Here is a 21,676-nt window from a genome sequence, read left to right on the forward strand (position 1 = left end):
GGTGAATTTGGAGGCTACCAAATGGGCCCACAAGAACTTCACTCAACGTAAGGTAGCAGAGCATAATAAGAGAGAATGTTGTACCAGGATTCTGAAGTTATACTTCTGGCTTTGTCAGATGATCTTAAGCAAATCTCTAAACATAGTCCTTTCTCATTTGCAAAATGAGGGTTATTAATAAATTTTCTGCTTACCTTCAGTGATAATAAGGAACAAATGAAATAATAGTTTTCAAAGCCTTTGGCATGACATATCTGGCATTGAGACAGAATATATGAAATCACGACTTTTCAGGAATATCTGAAAAATGTGCATGCGTATGTTCATTGCAGCACTATTCACAATAGCAAAGACATGGAATCAACCCAAATGCCCATCAATGATAGACTGGATAAAGGAAATGTGGTACATATACACCATGGAATACTATGCAGCCATAAAAAGGAACAAGATCATGTCCTTTACAGGGACATGGATGGAGTTGGAAGCTATTACCCTCAGCAAACTAACGCAGGAACAGAAAACCAGAAGCCACATGTTCCCTCGTATAAGTGGGAGCTGAACTATGAGAACACATGGACACAGGGAGGGGAGCAACACACGCTGGGGCCTGTTGGGGGCTGGGGTGGGGAGAGAGAGCATCAAGAATGGATTCCCAGCTAATGGATGCTGGACTTAATACCTAGGTGATGGGTTGATCAGTGCAGCAAACCACCAAGGCACGTTTACCTATGTAACAAACCTGCACATCCTGCAAATGTACCCCAGAACTTAAAAAGAAAATTCACCCATCTGCAAAAAGTTTGTATGACAATACCTGAAAGTCTATTTGATATGAAATAATTATCCAATAGTTTTACACCTGTTTTCTAAGAGATAAGAGCTTTCTTATTCTACTTCATGCCAAAGTTAGAGTTTGGAATCAGCTATTGTTTCATTCTTTGGAGCTGATTTTTTTTTTTTTTAACCAAATTGAATTCTTTTGGGGAGTCTACTTGAGTTCTAGTAGGAATAATAATGAGGAAAAAACAATATGAAAAAGCCCTTCAGGAAATAATTATATTCCATTTAAGGCTAAGATTTTGTTCCTGAGGGGGTTATGTAACTCTGAACGTTATTAACCCATTGTGATCCAACTTGATTTTTATGATTTTTTTTTTACATGAAAGCTATTGTGTTTTTGTATTGACAGTCTTACCTTAATAGACTAGATGTACTTAGTGATACCTCTTGGGAATACTGCTTATATTTTTTCAGAGATCCTACTCCCTCCAGCCCATATTTAAAACTGGTTTTCTTCTGTCTATTTAACCCTCAGAAAGTTCACAAACCAACTAACCAACCAACCAACCAACCAACCAACCAACAGAAAATCCCTAAAGAAAGAAAAAATGACTTCTAGTTCCTGAAGTTAGTTATTTGTGAATTACTTGTATTGATAAATAAAACTGTCAGTTTCCAATATCACATCTCTTCAGGGTAATAAATAATCCTTGGAGGTGACTGCCATTATACTTATGAAGGTTGGAACTGCATTTTACAAGATAAGGAAAATCACTGAAGTCTTATACCTGGTCACAATTTCATCTTAAAGACCCTAGAAAAATGCTGAAGGCGGCCGGACGCGGTGGCTCACGCCTGTAATCCCAGCACTTTGGGAGGCCAAGGCAAGTGGATCACGAGGTCAGGAGATGGAGACCATCCTGGCTAACACGATGAAACCCCGTCTCTACTAAAAATACAAAAAAATTAGCTGGGCGTGGTGGCGGGCGCCTGTAGTCCCAGCTACTCAGGAGGCTGAGGCAGGAGAATGGCGTGAACCTGGGAGGCGGAGCTTGCAGTGAGCCAAGATCGTGCCACTGCACTCCAGCCTGGGCGACAGAGCGAGTCTCTGTCTCAAAAAAAAAAAAAAAAAGAAAGAAAGAAAAATACTGAAGGCATCTCAAAGATAATTTTAAGTTTACCACAAATATTCATATAAGGTGGACAAGGGGGCCACAGTTATGAAACATAACTTTAGTGTTTCAGATTCCTCTAATCAAAGATGTCATTAACAGGCCGGGCGCGGTGGCTCACGCCTATAATCCTAGCACTTTGGGAGGCCAAGACAGGCGGATTGCCTAAGCTCTGGAGTTCCAGACCAGCCTGGGCAACATGGTGAAACCCCATCTCTACTAAAATACAAAAAAATCAGCCGGCACGGTGGTAGGCACCTGTAATCCCAGCTACTCAGGAGGCTGAGGCATGAGAATAGCTTGAACCTGGGAGGTGGAGGTTGCAGTGAGCCAAGATCATGCCACTGCACTCCATCCCGGGCAACAAAGCGAAACTCTGTTTAAAAAAACAAAAAACAAAAAAAAGGTGTCATTAACAAAATCTGTTGTTGAACGCGTGTAAATACACATACCTCTGTATTATGACAGATTCTGGAAATACTGGTCATTCTAGTAACCTTATTCTTACTTAAACTTGGGGGAACACGCCTTTCTTGAAACTATAACTTCGAAGTTTTTAATGTAGGCAAACCCCCAACTTCCAGCTTTGGAAATCAGCTCTGTTGCAGCACATTTTATGAAGAAAAAAAATGTTCTGTGTGAAATACAGCTTTTAATCTCAAGTTTTAAAAAGACATGTTGTCTATTTGAAACTTAAGATGTGAATTGGCTTATCTTTGGGTCCTTATCCCAGGTGCCAGAGTTCTTGATGCTTCTCCCCCACAAACCTCGACTCATCGAGAAAAATTCCATTTGTACTGGGTATTTCTTCATTTTTTTCCCCAGTTGGAATCACAGCACACTTTAAAAGATTTAGCAAGTTGTCATCAGGTATGGCACTAGAGAGTGGAGAAGTAATGCTTCTGCTCTGTCCTATTCCTCATTACAGACATTGAGGAAGTAATCCTACCTATCCTTGAAGACAGAACCTCACAGTCCAACTGTTATTAAGCATGGAATCAAGTGGAAAAGACAACTTTTCTCTTTTAGCTCAGTTATTTCATTATCATCTAGAGGCTGTTTCTCTTTGAATAATTCTGTTCCTGGGAAATAATTCTTGTCCATTCCCCTACAGGCTTCTTTCGGGTATGAAGGTCATTTGAAAAAAAAAAAAAAAAGAAAATGTCCTTTCCATCTTGGTTTGGGGCTCCTGATATGTAACCCTCAGGGTAAATGTGTTCCACTAGATCCTGGGGTGTGACCCACTTAAGATGTTAATATGTTTTTTTCTTGATGAGTTAGCACACATAAACTATATGCCTTCAAAGAATTTGAGAAATTTTGTCTAACATGGAAAAGCTGAGTTAACTTGCCATAAACATAATGCGAGCATAGGACTGGCGCGGTGGCTCATCCCTATAATCCAAGCACTTTGGGAGGCCCAGGCAGGTGGATCACCTGAGGTCAGGAGTTTGAGACCAGCTGGCCAACATGGTAAAACCTGTCTCTACTAAAAATACAAAAATTAGCCAGGCGTGGTGGTGCATGCCTGTAGTTCCAGCTACTAAGGAGGCTGAGGTGGGAAGATTGCTTGAACCTGGGAGACGGAGGTTGCAGTGAGCCGAGATGGCACCACTGCATTCCAGCCTGGGTGACATAGTGAAACTCTGTCTCAAAAATAAAAATAAAAATAAATAATAATAATAATAATAATGGAAGCATAAAGTTAGGTTTCATTCATTTATTTGCATCGAAAGGAAAGATTGGTTTGCCTACTTTCATCCAATCCTACATGAGAAGAGTTTATACTGCAAAAATCAAGTGTATTATATAATGTGATAAAATAAAGATCAAAATCATGACTTTTTTATGCTTGTGGCCCTAAGCACTGTGTGAGTGTTTCATTTTTTTTTAAGACCAGATTTTGGATATTTACTGAACAGACTTATCAGTCTGATTCCTCAAATCAAGGACTTTTGAGAATGAAGTTCTCACAGACACTTGAATTGTTGGAACCTCAGTAGCTCACATCATTGAGCTAAATTTATATGCTAAAGTTAAAATCACAAAAACACAACCCCAAAAAGGACATTGCTGATTTGTTTAAGAAGGTGGGATTATTCAGCCTTAAACCAGACATGTGAATTGAATAGAGAGAAATTAGAGGTTGTATGCATTTGAGACTCAATGAAACCACATATTTTTAAAAAACTCTAATTCACAGATTAGGAAGGATTACAGTTTTTTTTTCTAGAAATGAAGTCACAATTCAGAAGGGATTTATAGAGTTTGATGAGTATAAATTATGTTTTACATTCCTGAAGCAATGCCTTTGGAGTGTAAACTTTAAGATATATATGATTTCTCAAGCCTGCCTTTCTAATCATCGTGGCTTAGTTTGAAGAGAAACTAATTATGTTAAAATTGATGTATGGCCATTGCTAAGATAATTTATCTTGGAAAATTTGGAGCAAAATATATAAATATAAATCTCCAAATGATTCTGAAGTCTCTGGCTATGAGGCTAAACTTTAGGCCATATTTGAGTTTCGGTGGCTCTTTGGAATTATATTCTTTATCACTATTGACATTGAAGTTGACAGTCACTCACTATCCCGGCTGTATACCTGGAGCTAGAGTTTGATGTGACCTGATTGAAATAATTCAGTCTACTAAATACCATGGTTTTCATTTATTTGATTCACAAATATCAGTGAATAGCACCAGGCCTAAAATTGTTGATCTTTGCATAAATAGAGTGCTTTTTGAATTACTTTTCAAAAAGTGATTTACTTTTGAAATTACTTTGATTACTTACTTTTGAAATTACTGCTGAATATCCATAATATTGAATAGTTAAGAGGTGCTACTTTGCCAGTGTTATGGATTAAACATAATTTAGCTGGCTGGGCATGGTGGCTCACATCTGTAATCCCAGTGCTTTGGGAGGCTGAGATGGGAAGATCACCTGAGGCCAGGAGTTTGAGGCCAGGAGTTTGAAACCAGCCTAGGCAACATAGTGAGACCTTGTCTCCAAAAATAATAAAAATAGGCTGGGTGTGGTGGCTTACGCCTGTAATCCCAGCACTTTGAGGGGCCCAGGTAGGCAGATCACTTGAGGTCAGGAGTTCAAGACCGGCCTGGCCAGCATGGCGAAACCCCGTCTCTACTAAAAATAAATAAATAAATAAATAAATTAATTAAAAAAAAAAAAAAAAAAAAACCAAAAATTTTCTGGGTGTGGTGGTGCACGCCTGTAGTCCCAACTACTATGGAGGCTGAGGCAGGAGAATCGATTGAACCCAGGAGTCGGAGGTTGCAGTAAGCTGAGATTGTGCCACGGCACTCCAGCCTGGGTGACAGAGAGAGCCTCCGTCTCAAAAATAAATAAATAAATAAATAAATAAATTAATTAATTAATTTTTTAAGTGTGTCCTTGTGAAATATGAAACTATGCTTAGATAAGTTCACTATTGAAAGTAAAATAGACACTCCAAAACTTGTGCATCTTCAAAAATGCATCCTAGTGACGATGGATGCACGATGTGAATGTACTTAATTCCACTGAACTGTAAACTTACAGGTGGTTAAAATGTGAAATTTTATATTAGGTATATCTTACCACAATAAAAAGTCCACTTCAATGTACACAGGAATGGACCCTGGAAACAATGTTGGAATCTCTGATGCTTAATCAAGAGAACAAGAAGAAATAAAACCCTGTGGCACATTCAGATTAGTGGGATGAGAGTTGAGAAAGATACGAAAATATAGTAGCATAAAGATATTGTGTAAAAACAATGATAAGAAATTATGGAATAAAGAACACAAGGGACAAAATTTCTGGACAGCAAAAGGACTAAAAGAAAGAGGAAAAAATAATGAGAAGGTTAATGAGGATTGGAGGGCAGTTAATGTAGAATCCAAAAGTGATCATATGACAAGCAGATCCCCATGAGAGTGAGAAAGTCATCACATTGGTTGTCAAATGCAACGGTAACTAAAACTGGCAAATGAAGATCATATGAGCAAGTGGAGTCAAGCCATACAACAGAAGGTGACCTACCAACACAAAAATTGATGAAATATTGCAGTGAAATTGTTTGCAAATAAATGCATTCTCAATTTTAAAGAGAACGGGGGGCCTAAAATTGTAAAGTTGATCTCATATTCAGTGGGGTGAGGACTGTAAACTTTAGTTGTATTCTGCAATTATCTATTTTTTAAAAACTATTTTATTCCCATTAACCATTCTGTCACTTGGAAGCAATTCATGTTCTACAAATATCTGTGATTTTTTTTCTCACAGTATTATAACAATTTATGTAAAGTGAAAAAACACTGAAACAATAATATACATCTTTAATGGAAATATATACATATATCAAAGTGTAGATACGGCAGACTGCTTAACACGATAACTGATACTTCACATCAACAGCAGGGCTGTGGGAGAGAGGGAGGGATAAGAGAAGGATGGGCCTTTACTATATCTATTACCTGCCATTTTACTGCACAGAATTAGACCATATACCACGAGTCCTCCATGTGTAAAAATAAAAATGAATAATTATAGCCGCTAATAGTAAATTTTTTTTTGATACACAGTCTCACTCTATCGCCCAGGCTGGAGTGCCATGGCATGATCTCGACTTATTGCAACCTCTGCCTCCCAGGTTCAAGCGATTCTCGTGTCTCAGCCTCTGGAGTAGCTGGGATTACATGCACCTGCCACCACGCCCAGCTAATTTTTGTATTTTTAGTAGAGACTGGGTTTCACCATGTTGGCCAGGCTGGTCTCGAACTCTTGACCTCAGATGATCTGCCAGCCTTGGCCTCCCAAAGTGCTGGGATTACAGGCGTGAGCCACCACACCCCGCCCAGCTAATAGTTATTGACTGCTACTGTATGCTCGGTATTTCGCTGTGCGTAAGTATATTACCTATTTTATTTTATCTTTACACTTCTCCAGGGAGGTGAGCACAACACCAGGCTTATTGAAATAACTTAAAGCAGGTAAATGGCAAAAATAAAATAAGGGGACTCATGGGTGGGCCTAACCATTTACCACTTCCTCCAGTATAGCCCTTTCGATCTCCATGTTGCTCTTTTTCATTTTTTATCCCATTCCAGGTTGCCCTGGTATTTGTTTTTTGCCTCATTTCTAAGGCGTGGTAGTTTTATTTTTGCCTGAGAAAAAGGGACCAGATAAACACACAATGACGTTTGCCTCAGAGCCTGATCCATGAAGGAATGGCACTGCCAGTTGCCCTTCAGCTGGCAGGCACCCCTCAGCTGCTTTGACTCCAGGTAGCATGGAAAAGAGATGGAAATGGACATCAAAGCACTTCTGGTGCCATGCACTGAATGTTAGCTTTTCTTATTTCCCACAATCCCCTATGAAGTGAAGAAACTATTTTCATCTCTATTTTATAAATGAGAAAACTAATGCCCTGAAAATAGGAGTGAGTTTCTTTAGGTCATACAGCTAGTGGGTTAAAATTCTATCCTCAGTTGCTCTGGCTCCATAGTCCCTGCTTTTTCCGTGGTATCATGCTGCTTCCTTAAAGGGCTAAGTTAGCCTTGTTAGGAGGCTCTCCCAAACTGTCTGATAAGTTGGCATAGAACTACACCTGTTTGATTGTAAATCTTCCCTAACTGGAAATCAAAGCCTCACCTGTGACCTGCTTGAACTGACCTCCCTCAAAGACGTGGAACCTAACATTTTGGAGGTCATACCATAGCAGATCCTGCTTCAGCCTTTCATTGACCTACAAACCTTGAGTATGACTTCATCTTTCAAATGTGTTTTTTAGCCTTCTCGCTAAGGGGCTGCCAGGGATTCAGTTGTGCCAACAATTACCAGCATCCAGGCAGCGACCCTCCTGTAATCACTGCCCACTATGTCCCCAGTATATAGGATAGGATCCTTTGTTATGTGCTCTCACAGAGCACTGTTCTTTCAGAGTACATATCTTAGTAGGTAATTATGTATTCATTAAAGTGATCATTTACTCTATATCCACCACCAGCTTGTAAGCTCCATGAAAGCAGGGTCGGTGTCTGTCTTCTGTATCGCAAACACTCCGAACAGTGCTCAGTAAGCATTTGTTAAATGCATGAATGCTTTTCCACCAAAGAATCAGATGGTTACTTATCTGGCCATAAAGAAAATACAAAAAGGTTGTCTGTGCCTCGGATAAATGGGCCTAGCTGTGAGGCCTGCCCAACCATTTGTTTGTTAGGGGGCTAAATGGTAGAAAAATGCTGATTCTTGCTCTGCTGCTCCAGACTTTGGAGGCTTTAAGCTTCCCTGAAAGCAGACATGAGCTCAGCTTACCTCTTTCTGGTGGTATTTGATTGCCACCTTCAACTTGGCCAGGTCATGGTACTTCTGAGGGTCAAGCTCTTCACTGTGGTCATCTCGATGGTTGAGGATGATCTCCAGTTCCCTGGAGCTCCGAGCTTGGTCCAGCAGGTCTTTGGCAAAGAGCTTGCACTGCTGAGAGAGCTCCTCATACTCGGCCTTGAACTCATTCTCCACCTTGCTGAGCTCCTTGAGCTCCCAGCCCAGACGGAAGGCAGTTAGGATGGGGTCCTCACTTGATAAGGCAATGAGTGAGGGGCTTGCCAGAGCCTTATAGATGTTCAGTCGGGAGCGAGAGTGGCGCAGGCTGTCTACCTCTGAACTAGACACACACTCCACACAGTTGCAGCGGATCTGGTGGGGCCGTGGGATAGTGACCCGTTTTTGGACAAGCAATTTGATGATTTCGTAGTTGTTGGTGTGGGCAGCCAGCATGATGGGAGTGATGTCCGGTGTGAATTCAGAGAACTGCGTGTCCATCATCAGAGTGGGGACCTAGGTACAAGAAATGAGAAGAATAGAAGGGCAGGATTAAAGTTTGGAGAGAGAAGCATAGGGCCTATAAAATGCTGGCGATTCAGGAATTAGAGTCTCCATTCTTGTTTCAATTCTTTTGACCTCCTAAACCTCCTTCCTTATAGCTAATGTTTGTGGGATGCTTATTGTGTGCCAGGCACTATTCTAAGCACATTACATGTCTTTACTCATTTAATCTCCACAACAACCTTGTGAGGTAAATATTCTTCCCATATGAAGAAGCTGAGACAGAGGGAGATTAAAGAACACACCTAAGGTTACAAAGTTTTTAGTCAGCAGAGCCAGGATTCAAACCCAAGCAAGACTCTAGAGCCAAGCTCTAGAGTCAAATTGTCAATTATGCAATGACAACATGCCCATTTCTGTCTGAGACATACTGGAGAATACAGAGAAGTAAAGGACATTTTTCCTGACCTCCTGGAGAATTACTTGGGTAGAGCAAACTTTCATAAAACTGGTAACAGTACATAGTATTATCTGCTCAGTTCCAAATGAGCAGTAGAGACTATATATATAACTTCAGGGGACCAAAGCCCAAGGCCAGACAGGGTTCGTCCAACTTCCTGTAGGTCCCAGGAAGGTAAAGATGATTCGTTAGGGTCAGGAAGAAGTACTCTGAAAATGAAGACTTCTCGGCTTGGGGAGGGGATACTGATAGCAACAGTACCATTGATAAAACTGCTATGTCCATGATGTAATGTTTAGTGTAAATAGCAGCTATAGGTGAAAGATGGGGGCTTCTTTGGGTATTCAGGAGCACTTCCGGGTGAGTGTGCAGAACCTGATCAATGAATTAAAAAATCTTTCGACTTTAAAATGTCTCTTGCCAGGCACAGTGGCTCACGCCTGTAATCCCAGCACTTTGGGAGGCCGAGGCGAGCGGATCATGAGGTCAAGAGATAGAGACCATCCTGGCTAACACGGTGAAACCCCGTCTCTACTAAAAATACAAAAAATTAGCCGGGCATGGTGGCGGGCGCCTGTAGTCCCAGCTACGTGGGAGCCTGAGGCAGGAGAATGGCATGAACCCAGGAGGCAGAGCTGGCAGTGAGCCGAGATCACGCCACTGCACTCCAGCCTGGGCAACAGAGCAAGACTCAGTCTCAAAAAAAAAAAAAAAAAAAAGTCTCTTTTGGGACCCAGTCTTTTCTCAGTCCAGTAGGGAAACTGAGGCAGCTTGCTAGACTCACAGAAGAGTTTAAGTGTGGTAGGATCTAGAGCTAGAGAAGGGGAGGGCTGGAATAGTCAACAGAGGCAACAGAGGCTTTAAGAGGTGGAGCCGAGTATTCAAAACATGTCTAGGATTCCAGAAAATTGGGAAATATTGATTTTTATTACACTTTAGGAAAAAAAAGTTCCAAATGTTCATTTTAACTGGGTAGGACAGACCATGGATAATTGGGAGTCTCATCGAATAGACAAATCATGGGATTTTTGTTTTGTTTTAGATTTTTTTATCTCTGTAAATGTAAGCAGAGAGACAAATCGTGTTTTAATCAATAGGTTCTTTTTACTCTCAAAACTCCTTTAAAAAATAAAACAACAACCCACAGTTACTGGCGAACTGACAAAGGGATGAGTTAACTGTTTTTCAACATCATTGCCTCCCTCCCACCTTGCACGCAGGATTCTCAAACAGGGAAGTGGCCAGAAAACATACAGTAGGAGAAAGGTGGAGGAGGAGGAGTTTGCAAGAAACCTGTTTCCTTCACTGAGTGCTTGCATCAGCCTCTGAATAGTTGAAAGATGACTGCATAATGGTCATTAATGGCTAGGATGGAGCAGCGAGTAAACACTGTTAAACATTTAGAGGGAGCAGCTACAAACAAGACAGCAGGAAGTGAGCAACTGGCTCATAAAGTAAATTGGACACAGGAAAGAGTAATCTCAGAAATTAACATAAGCTTACAGGCTAAGGAAGAAGTAGGTCTGAGTGGGTCTGGAAATGAACATAAACACTATCAGCATAAAGCCTAGAGTTGGGAGAGATGGGGAAGTGAGAAATTTGTCACAGTCTGCCCAGGAAGAAGCGAGCTCAGATGAGAAATCTGCCCTTTCTCCAGGCAGAGGCATTCCTCATCTCTGTCAGGGTCTAAAAGTGTTGAGCAGAAGGGAAGAGAGGCTAACCTGTAGCACAGGATTCCCTGGGTTCGATTATGGGTATGGGTCTGCTTCCTACCATGCTATTCCTCTTTCCTCGCTCTCTTTCTCTCTCTCTCTCTCTCTCCCCGCCACTTCCTTATTCTTTCTACTTTTCTTACTCTTTTCCTTTCTTTTCTTCTAAGGCAGTGCTGCCAGTCCTGTCCAATACACACAGCAGTACCCGTGAATAGTGTTTAGCCCCACTTGTATGATAGAGCCAAAAGGTTGTTGTTGTCTATGCCTAGAATATGAAATGCTTTCTGAAACTACTCGATTATATTGTCTAACAAGGAACTTTATTATTCTCCATTCGGCTTCCTGAGTACCTAACACCAGAGAGGAAACCTTTTAAAAAGAAAACTGGTCTACAGTGACCAACCTTGCCCTCCCGCCCAGACTGCTTTTTCTCCTCCTATCAGTGTTGTCACTCACAGGTTGCTTTCTGTGTGTATATCCTTGTGGATCCCCTGTGTGGAATGGTCTCTCGCCCCATTTCTCTGCCACTCAGGGGCCATTGCAAGTTCTGGCTTCTTCAATAGCTCCTCCTCTTAACTTTGAGCTTATCTCTTGCTGCCCGCTCAAATACTGTGGGCACAAGGTTACATGCAAGAAAATCACTTTTCTGATGCTGTCTTACATTATTCTCAAATTACTTCACACACGTACTTTTTGCCTCCTTGATAAGGTTATGAGCTCTTTGAAGGCAGAGTTGTCCTGGTCTGCTCTTGTTTCCCCTATGGCATCTAGCACAGTGCTAGACACACAGCAGGCACTCAGCAAAAATAAATTAAATTTCCTGTTTTCACATTAAGGAATTGACTCTCTTGGGCCAGGCGTGGTGGCTCATGCCTGTAATCCCAACACTTTGGGAGGCTGAGGTGAGAGGATCATCTGAGCCCAGGAGTTCAAGACCAGCCTGGGCAACATAGTGAGACTCTGTCTCTAAAAAACAAACAAACAAACAAACAAAAACATTATATTAGCTAGGTGTGATGGCAAGCACCTGTAGTCCCAGCTAGTAGGGAGGTTAAGATGGGAGGATTGCTTGAGCCTGGGAGGTCGAGGCTGCAGTGAGCTGTGATCATGCCACTGCACTCCATCCAGCCTGGGCAACAGAGTGATACCCTGTCTCCAATAAAAAAGTAAAGAAAAGAAAAGAGAAATTGACTCTATTGTTTATAAACCTGACTCCCACAATTTGGGTCAATATGAGCTAATTTCCTTGGACCTCTCCTTCCCATGTCCAGCTGAGAAGGCAGACATCCCAAGACTCCAAGAAGGGTTAGATGATTAGCTCTGCAGGGAACTACTACGAGGTCTCACAAACTTGGGACATTTCTGCCTGTATTTTTCACAATTCTATTGCTTCAAAGTGGGGACTGATCCATAGACTACGGGTTTCTTTTTATTCCTTCTACCCCTTCTGCTTTGTCCTCCTTCATCATCTTGCTGTTTTTATTCCTTCCCAGGCTGTGCAGAGACCACGGACTATCATCAGGACAGCCAAAGTAAAGGAAGAGAAAGTTCTATAATGAGGGTTAGAAGATTCTGATAATAATCTATCTAAAATGCAGGCCAAACAGGTAACAGAAATCAGGACCAGGTGTAGGTGTATACGCATAATTTGGGCGAGTGAATGATAGAAACTGGTAAACTGCAGAGACCCTCTCAAAGGGGGCAGCTACTACTCAGCTCCTGTAAATTGTCATAAACACAAGTGAGGAGCAGTGTTATAAATTTTTGAAAAGAAGCCGGAAACATGGATTTGGGGGTAGAAGCTCTTAAAGTTATAAACGTTGGCTCAAAAATTTTAAAGACAGTGTGCAGGCCAAGCAAAATACATATGTGAAACAAATTTGGCTCCAGTGAACCAGTTTGTGACCTTCGTGCTAGCACATAAGTTGTGAGACTAAAAAGAGATGGGAGAAGAAATTGGATATTTAGGCAAGGGCCAAATGATAAAAGGCCTCATATGCCATGCTAAGGAATTTATATGTTATCTGTTGACCACGGGGAACCACTGAGGGTTTTAATCAGGAGAGTGGCATAGTTGATTAGCTTGGCCACAGTGTGGGAAATGGGCAGTGGTAATCATGCTCATAAATGTTTAACAACCAGCTCTCCACAGGGGAGGAAAAAATATCCTGTTTTGTGTGTTTGCCAGTTTTTGTGGTGTAAATACTCCCACTGTGGCCAGTTTCATGCTACCAATATGACATCCTGGAACATGGAGTTGGGAAGAGGAGCAGATAACCCGCTCTCGCCAGCTGGTGCAAGCCAGCTCCAAGCACACCACCATGTGTTTCAGAATAAGACTAATTAAAAGATATCATCAGTTCAGGTGAATAGATGCAAGGATCTTAAATTAGATAGTGATTCTAGAGATAGATAAAAAATAACAAATTTAAGGCATTCATTGGATGTGTCAGGGAAGGCAGGGAGAAGAAATCAAGGGTATTGAGTCTCCATATTCCAATGCCTGGTTGAACAGTAGTGTCACTAATTGAGATAGTGCATACAGGAGCAGGTTTAAGGTTTTTAAAAGTTCAGTTTTGTGCTTGTTAACTTTGAAGTCCCTACTGGGAAAGCAGCAGGAAATTGTATAACTCCAGCATGAATCTTGAAGGAGAAGTCAGGGCTGAAAATATAGATGTGAGAGCCTTCAGCCAGCAATAGTAGTTGAAACCAAGAGTGGACAGGATCAGCCTCTGCCTGCCCTTGTTTCCTCACAAGTGGCTCCACCTATCTACTCCAAGGACTCTGTCCAGCCCCAGTTTCCAGGGCAACCAAGGCCTGAAATAAGAAGCACTCAGGAGGCCTGCCTCAGGTTCCATCATTCCAAATTCCTACTGTTGAGGCTTTTGCAATGGGACATTCTTGTTCTGTTAGTTTCTGAATTGCAGCTTCTTCTGCACCTGTGCCCTAGCTTTTAAAACAAGGCTTCACCCTTGTCTGAGTTTCTGGCCTAATATCCCAAGCCTCTTTAATGAAATGTGGCTGTGAAGAGATGAGGCTGCATCTTGAGCACCTTGATTAGATTGGGGGAGGACCCGGGGAGGAGGGAAGAGGCTGTAGACAAGGGAAAGAGGGGGCTTGTGGGTAGATCAGGGTGCCTGAAGAGATGAGGAGAGATGAGGTCCAGAGCAAAGGTTGGGGTGAGGTGGAGGTTGATCTTAGTCTGGAATAAGGATGCCTTATCCTCAGAGACTGGAGGAAAAAAGGTGAGTTGAATGGAGGTGTTAGTAGTTTGTTATTGAAGAGGGCTGGAAGCTGAAGTATTTCCCATCTAAAAATGCAGTTTTCTCATTGAAATGGGAGGTGAGATCAGATGCTTTGAGTGAGGGAGGAGAAGTTGGCAGGGTGTGTGGGGAGAGTTCAATGTATGGAAGATTTGCTAAGGGGAAAGAAAGAGGAAGACAAAGGAAAGTAAAAGGATGGCCTAGCAGTCCTGAAGTCTTGGGTAAATTAGCAGCTGTAAATTTATAATGGCAGTGATGCACAGAAGAATGTGGCTTTTTTTTTTCTCTCTAGCAGCTTTGACAGTCCAGATGTGGGGATGGAAAATTCAGGTTTTGGATAGATTCAGGATTGTGGTTTTGCCAGACGTGAGAAGAAGTTGAGGATGAAGTAGTTCAGGTGATTGCACTTGAAGACCAGATCAGATAGGTAAGGGCTAAAAGTCTGGGAGGAAATGGAGACATTGAGGGACTTGAGGTCTCTTTGAAGTGAAAAGACAGAGTAGGCAAACTGGGAGGATGGGAGACTGTGGACAGAGAGTAGGGTGCTAGTAGATATGATGTCCACAGTGGAGCAGTGCTGAATGGTGACCAGCTGTGGGTTGGTCATGGGCACAGTGGGCTGAAGTAGAGTGAATGTGGAGGTCAGTGGAGTGGGGAGGTCAAGGAGCTGATGGGTCAGGATGCTGGCTGCATTGTCCACATGGGTGGGTGCTGAAGTTGTCCAGAGTGATGACACGTATTGGGCTGAAGAGGACAGCTGTGATCTAGGGGCCAAGATAATCAGAGTACTTTGGATAGCGACTAAATCAGCAGATGATCAGGAGATGGAAAGAGGAGTGACTGTGTCCACACTATTTTGAGGAGGGCTTCTGAGAGGTGAAGCCAGCTGTACTTCCTGGGTCTAGTGGGGACTTGGAGAACTTTTCTATCTTATAAGAGGTTTGTAAAATCCACCAATCAGTGCTCTGTAAAAATGCACCAATCGGAACTCTGTAGCTAGCTAGAGGTTTGTAAAATGGACCAATCAGCAGTCTGTAAAATGGACCAATCAGCAGGACATAGGTGGGGACAAATAAGGGAATAAAAGCTGGCCACCCCAGCCAGCAGCGGCAACCCGCTCGGGTCCCCTTCCATGCTGTGGAAGCTTTGTTCTTTCACTTCTTCACAATAAATTATGCTGCTGCTCACTCTTTAGGTCTGTGCCATCTTTTAGAGCTGTAACACTCAACGCAAAGCTCCACGGCTCCATTATTGAAGTCAGTGAGACCATGAACTCACCAGAAGGAATGAATTCCAGACACACTTTCACAGTGCAATTTAAGAATATCTTGCTTGGCTTTGTCATTTACTAGCCTTTTTGTATCTCAATTCCCTTGCCTATACAATGGGAAAATGACAGCAGCTGGGCAAAATTATAAGGATTAAATGAGATTGTGTGTGTATTTTCTACATAGGGTTTAGAACAGAGTTGTCCAATCTTTTGGCTTCCCTGGCCCACATTGAAAGAAGAAGAATTGCCTTGGGCCACACATAAAATACACTAACACTAATGATAACTGATGAGCTACAAAAAAATCACCCAAAAAAATCTCATAATGTTTTAAGAAAGTTTATGAATTTGTGTTGGGCCACATTCAAAGCTGTCTTGGGCCACATGTGGCCTGCAGGTCGCAGGTTTGATAAGTTTGTTTTAGAACATACTAGGTTCTCAACAAACATGGTTCCTATCATTATAACAACAAATGTATTACAAAAGTGGCCAGGTGCTGTGGCTCAGGCCTGTAGTCCCAGCACTTTGGGAGGCCTAGGTGGGCAGATCACTTGAGGTCAGGAGTTCGAGACCAGCCTGGCCAACATGGTGAAACCCCATCTCTACTAAAAATACAAAAATTAGCTGGACATGGTGGTGCGCACCTGTAATCCCATCTACTCGGGAGGCTGAGGCAGGAGAATCACTTGAACCCGGGAGATGGAGGTTGCAGTGAGTGAAGATCGCACCACTACACTCCAGCCTGGGTGACAGAGCGAGACTCTGTCTCAACAAAACAACAAAAAAAATGTATCTTAATCAAAAGCAAACTCCCCAGCACAGTAATGGTTTAGTCTTCACCTGGGCAAAACTGTGACATATGGAAACCGTAAGAGCACCCCCCTTCAATTCTATTTTGTGTACTTTTTAATGTTCTACCTAACTTAATACAAGTTAACCCAGTGCTGTCTTGCAAGCCTCCTGTGCAGGCTTAATCAGTACTGCCTTTTATGGATTGTTCTTATATTTTAGGTTAGGTTTACTAAATTGTATCAGTTTCCCATCCAGGTCCCTGGACTTCTGGGTCCCTTTAGGTGACTGGTCTGCTATTCTTTGAAAAAAAAAATCCATACAAGTTACTAATATTGATAACAATATCTGGAGCTGTCCTGAGCGGGGGGTATTTACATTTTAACTGGTGGCACCTAGAAAGAACACCTTGGCATTAGCCAAAAAAAATGAGAATTTCAAGGAGGACTAGGCTGGTAGGGACTTAAGTTTGGTGAAGGTCTTTCTCAGGCCTCACAATCCACTGTACAGCTTGATTCCTACTCCACTTTCAGATAGAGTGGATTCTGCTACTACTGGTGGCTCTGTACATAAGGTTTCTCCTAGTAGCTATTAAGAAAAATTGTGAAAGACTTTGGATCATGAAAAAACATAAACTAGAGGTCCTGTCTAGTATATTTTCTGGATTATCCATGCCTTTGATTCTCTTTGACTTAATTTAAAACTCTATAAATTGTAATGCAACTATTTCTTATTGGGTGGAATATAATTGATTATTGCCTTGTGGATATAGACTACTTTGTATCCATTTGTGAGTTTATTTCTATGTTTCCAATAGCCTGTATCATGGGAGAGCAAACTTCTTCTGTAAAAAGCCAGACAGTAATTGATACTCTGTGGACCATACAACAAATTACATTACAATGTCGTTTCATTACAATGAAATGAAACTTTCATTTTCATTGTAAAATGAAAGCAGCCATAAGTGTAAGTGAATGGGTATGGCTGTGCTCCAATAAATTTTATTTATAAAAACAGTTGACAGGCCAGATTTGGACTGAAGGCCATAGTTTGCAGACTCTTGGCCTACCTACTGGTTCCCTCATTAATTAATGAGTTGAATAAAATCTTTGTCATGTTTACTTTAAATTTGTATGAAGATTACGATTTAACATTTTTTTTTTTTGAAATTATCTTTTAACAGCCATTTTGTGTTCAGATTGAGGTCAGGTGAAAAATTCAATTTGATTATTTATTATCAAATTTCGCCTTCTCTTTAAACTCCAAAATCATACTGAAAGATCTTGGACTTTCTGTTTAAAATCATGTTTTTTAAAAGGAAAAATAAAGATAGGGGGAGGTGAGGAAGAGGGAAGGAAATCAATAGGCCAAGAATTTAGATTTGGCTTATATTATCTATAACTGTACTTCTAAAGAAACCTGGTACATCAACCAACTCGATTGAATTTTAAAATTTGCAATGATGTGGGCTAAGGACATGGCCACTAAAGAAGTTACACTGTCTTGCCTTTCCCTGGGACTTTTCATTCAGGCCATAATGAGTTTGCTACTGGATCTGTCCAAGGATTCCTTGTAGAAAAGCTAGGATCCTGTTCAAGGATCCTTCTGGATGAATGAGCATAGGACAGAGCCACTCAGCTCAGAGCTCATCACATAAAACACTTGCAATGCAGCGAATAGATTGAGCTACAGTCAGCTTCTCTGTATTTTCAGCTAAATTCTATTGCCAGAGGACAGCCTAGAGGATAGATCATACTCCTTTTTCCCCACTGTCAGAAATGGCTAAAGCTTTTACAAGGTTATTCACCAAGGGCTCAAATGATACATTCATTTCCATTAACCTCATCACTGGACACAATCTGCTAATTGGAGTTTTTCTGAACCCTATCGTTACCCTTGGTGGAGTTTATCACAGGCTTCTGAAATTAAATCCCCCATTTGTAATTAATGGCCAGACCCTTATCAGGAGCCGCCTCATTCATACACACAATGTTGTCTGCTCACAGACCCAACCTCTCCAACTGGCACTTCCTCACACAGCTGGTCTGATAGCATCATGTTGAAAATGAACCTCCTGTCTTATGCCTGGATTTAGTGAAATTGTAATCCCTCTTTTTTCACCTTCTGTGTTCTCCTCCCTCCATCCTAACATGCCAGATAAAATCAGTGTTCAGCAGTCCAAGGAACGTGTGGAAATGAAATTTCATTTCTCTGTATTACTCAGAAGTGAAAAACACCAGCATCTAATCAGTTCACATTACCAGCTTCCTGCTCTGCCTATCTATCAGGTTAGTTAGCTAGTAGTGGTGATGTATGTGTTACTTTGGAGCAACCATTGGCATGAGATGGAAAAGTATCTGTTTCTCAGAATCTGGTAAAAACAGAAGCATCAGAGTTAGGATTTGCTGGATGATCTCAGCTTTCAAGGCCAAGGTGTATATAATTTAGATTGGAAGACTGAAATGGACAACATTTACTTGGGGATAATGTCACAGAACCCACTGGCCTTTAAAAATGTCAATATTGATACATACAGATCAATTATATATATAAAACAATAGCCAGGATTAGCCTAAGCAGCAGGGATAAAAGTAATACTAATGGCTACTGGAGGTTGAGCACTTTCCATATGCCAGGCACAAGCACAATGCTGGAGTATTTTATTTAGTCCTCACTATAGCTCTATGCTATAGGCATAATAATTACTCCCATTTTATATCTGAGGAACTCAGTCATAGAGAAGCTAAGTGTCTTGGCCCAGGTCACATAGCTAGGACGTAGAGAGCCCAGAGCTTGACCCCAGGCAGTTTGGTACCAAAGCCTCCCGTACTGTTAACCACTATACAGCTCCACCCCTAACCAGCAAAAGGCCAACAATTTGATTTATTATATCAATAAACAAATGTTAAAATCACATCACAACACTGAATATACAGACATATCTTAAGTACATATTGCAGGTTTTGTTGGATGTTAATTAACCTAATGTTCTACCTTAAACCAGACAAACATTACATAACATTGTTTAACGTTTGGCAGCCCACAAAACTATTCTTGAGTTTTCATCACATAGAGGCCCTGAAGTTTTCAAAAGATAGGAGCTAAATCTATGAGAAAAAAAATTCATGACTAATTCCATAGGTTATGAAAGTTTGTAATTTGTGAGTTTTAGTTTGATAAAACCTGGAAAGGCATTTTTGTCACAGTTTAATGAAGCATTCCATATATTTTCTTCATAAAATATGGGTTCTAATGAGTGATGGGAACCACTGATTCCAAAAGTAAGGTCCACCCTGGGATGGATATTAGAAACAAACAAACAAACAAAAAACCAAAAAAGGTAAAAGGCTCCAAGGTAGGAAGGGAATACAGAGTGGCCGGCCTTTGGAGAGACAGCCCTCCCTGAAGGCATTTTGCATGCAGTTGAGATCTGACGTTTTCCAGGAAATTGTGAAAATGATGTGATGAATCAAAAAATGAGTCAATCAGCAGATGTGGGTTATTATTGAGATGGGAAAAATGTAAGAAGCAAAGGTCTAATCAACGCGTCCCTAGCATTGCACAGAGGAAGGAAGCCGTACTCTACCAGGGTGTCCAGTTAGCTTTGTAGGTGGCCCTACTGTGGAGCTTGATACAAATAGCTTTCTAGGACAGCCATAATAGTTCTTGGTTCACTTTGTATAAATCAATGTGTGATTTTTAAATTAAATTTCTCTTGTAGATTGCTGTCCTGGAAAGAGGATGGTGACAAGCTGATTTAGAGTTTTCCACATCACTGCTTATCACATGACTAGTGTGAGATTGGATATCATGATAAAGGTTTCTGGACAGGGCTGAGAACCCAGATATAGAGACAGTATCATTGGAGGGCCAGGGTAACCAGATTACTAGTAAGTATATTATAGGACTCAATATAAATAAACACTTCTTATTTTATATTTTTTCTAATGGGTACTGATATTGATAAGAGCACATTTGCCAGCAAAACAAAATCAGAATGAATAAAGAAGAGGAGTTGAGACCTTGGGTGACAAAAATGAACTCAGTTGGGTCTAAGAGTGCAAAAGAAAAGTTACAAAAGGGCAGTTCTGACCTTCACTCACAAAAGCAGTGTGGGCTGCGCCTGAATAAAGAAAAAGGCCTGAAAGTAGCCTCACGGTAAGGAGAGGCCTTTAAAAAAAAAAAAGAGGTAAAAAGGAAACCAGATCAGAAATCTAGAAGCAAAATTCATGTTACATAACATCAAAAGCATTCCCTTTCCCCACCATGATTTTCATTCCATGCTCCGTATACCTGTCAAATGCTGTTTGTTTGGTTGCTTTGTTCATATGTAGCCATCTGACTGTAAGGTTACATGATACAATTGGAGGATAAGGGTTGAAAGAAGAGATTTTGTCACATTCATTAAACAATTATTGAGTCTCACATTCTTTCTCTCAGTTATCCACACCTGAGGCAGGCCAGGCAGCTGACGCTGGTCTCCAGAGGTAGAATACTGTTGCTGACCTGTTGGCAGTTGCCCTAAATGTAAGCATAGTCCTCCAGAGCAGCAGGAGTTAATTCCTCTTCCTGTGGCTATCCTTGATCTTTTCAGGAAATAAACATTAAAGGGTCCTTTACTATCTTTCAAACCTCTGATAGTGGAAAAGCATCTGCAGGGTTAAATTTTGCATTTTCAGCCTTGCTGATTGCTGTCACATAGAGGCATTTATCATGTAGTTAGACAAAGCACAGGAGAAAGTAAGGGACAATTATGTAGGACAGTTCAGTTTCTCCAAGCTCAGATATAGGAGAAGAAATATGGGTTTATGATTTGAATTACCTATCCAGTTTAGTTTTCTGGAGTGAACACAGTAGCTTTCAATTTTTTTCCTTGACGACGACACAGGAAAAGATGTACCTAAACTGCAGCATGGAGAAGTTCAGGTGACCCAGAAATATAAGATCTAGTCCAATGACTGGCTCAGCTCCATGGGCCTTTCAGCCCAGATTTCTGTGTCTGAGGCACAGAAGGTGGTGTTGGAAGAGATCAGGAATTCGTTATATGCTATCGATTTCAAAGAAGTGTGGTCCTAATATTTCTGGCTCCTATAAGTAGACTGTTATAGTTTTAGAAGCCGCAAACATTTCTAAATCCAACCCCTTTTGAGAACATCTTTACCCTTTTACACTGTATTATCTTTTGGGGGGTAATAAGGACAAGTTGTTTTATTGTATACTGTGGGAATCATGGTCTGTTGCTTATAGTAAAATTCTGGCAGGTTTCAAAAACTCTTTTCTTTCTGATATCCTAACAATTGGTGAGCCAAACCCAGTTCTCCCTCTCTGCAGCTATCATCATTTTAGAAGTTTCTCTCCTTTGTCTGCATTTTCCCAAATTGAAGAATTGTTGGTTTTT

General features: G+C 41.1%; 1 protein-coding gene across 3 annotated transcripts in view, besides 1 other annotated feature; it reads right to left on the reverse strand.

Moving 5' to 3' along the window:
- Positions 1 to 21,676, reverse strand: part of TRPC5 (transient receptor potential cation channel subfamily C member 5) — a 314,766-nt gene that overhangs the window by 136,006 nt on the left and 157,084 nt on the right. For all 3 annotated transcript variants that reach the window (NM_012471.3, XM_017029774.2, XM_047442413.1), the window contains one exon: positions 8,275 to 8,796. In NM_012471.3, coding sequence (NP_036603.1) covers positions 8,275 to 8,796 — 522 coding nt within the window. The remainder of the gene's footprint in view (positions 1 to 8,274; positions 8,797 to 21,676) is intronic.
- Positions 8,531 to 9,030: an enhancer, noted in NCBI's record as "H3K27ac hESC enhancer chrX:111155775-111156274 (GRCh37/hg19 assembly coordinates)". NCBI's record gives its function as "activates a minimal SCP1, AML or CMV promoter by ChIP-STARR-seq in primed H9 embryonic stem cells {active_cell/tissue: H9 hESC(primed)}" and the evidence as "EXISTENCE:reporter gene assay evidence [ECO:0000049][PMID:30033119]".

This window comes from Homo sapiens, chromosome X (assembly GCF_000001405.40).
Source record: "Homo sapiens chromosome X, GRCh38.p14 Primary Assembly".
NCBI lineage: Eukaryota > Metazoa > Chordata > Mammalia > Primates > Hominidae > Homo > Homo sapiens.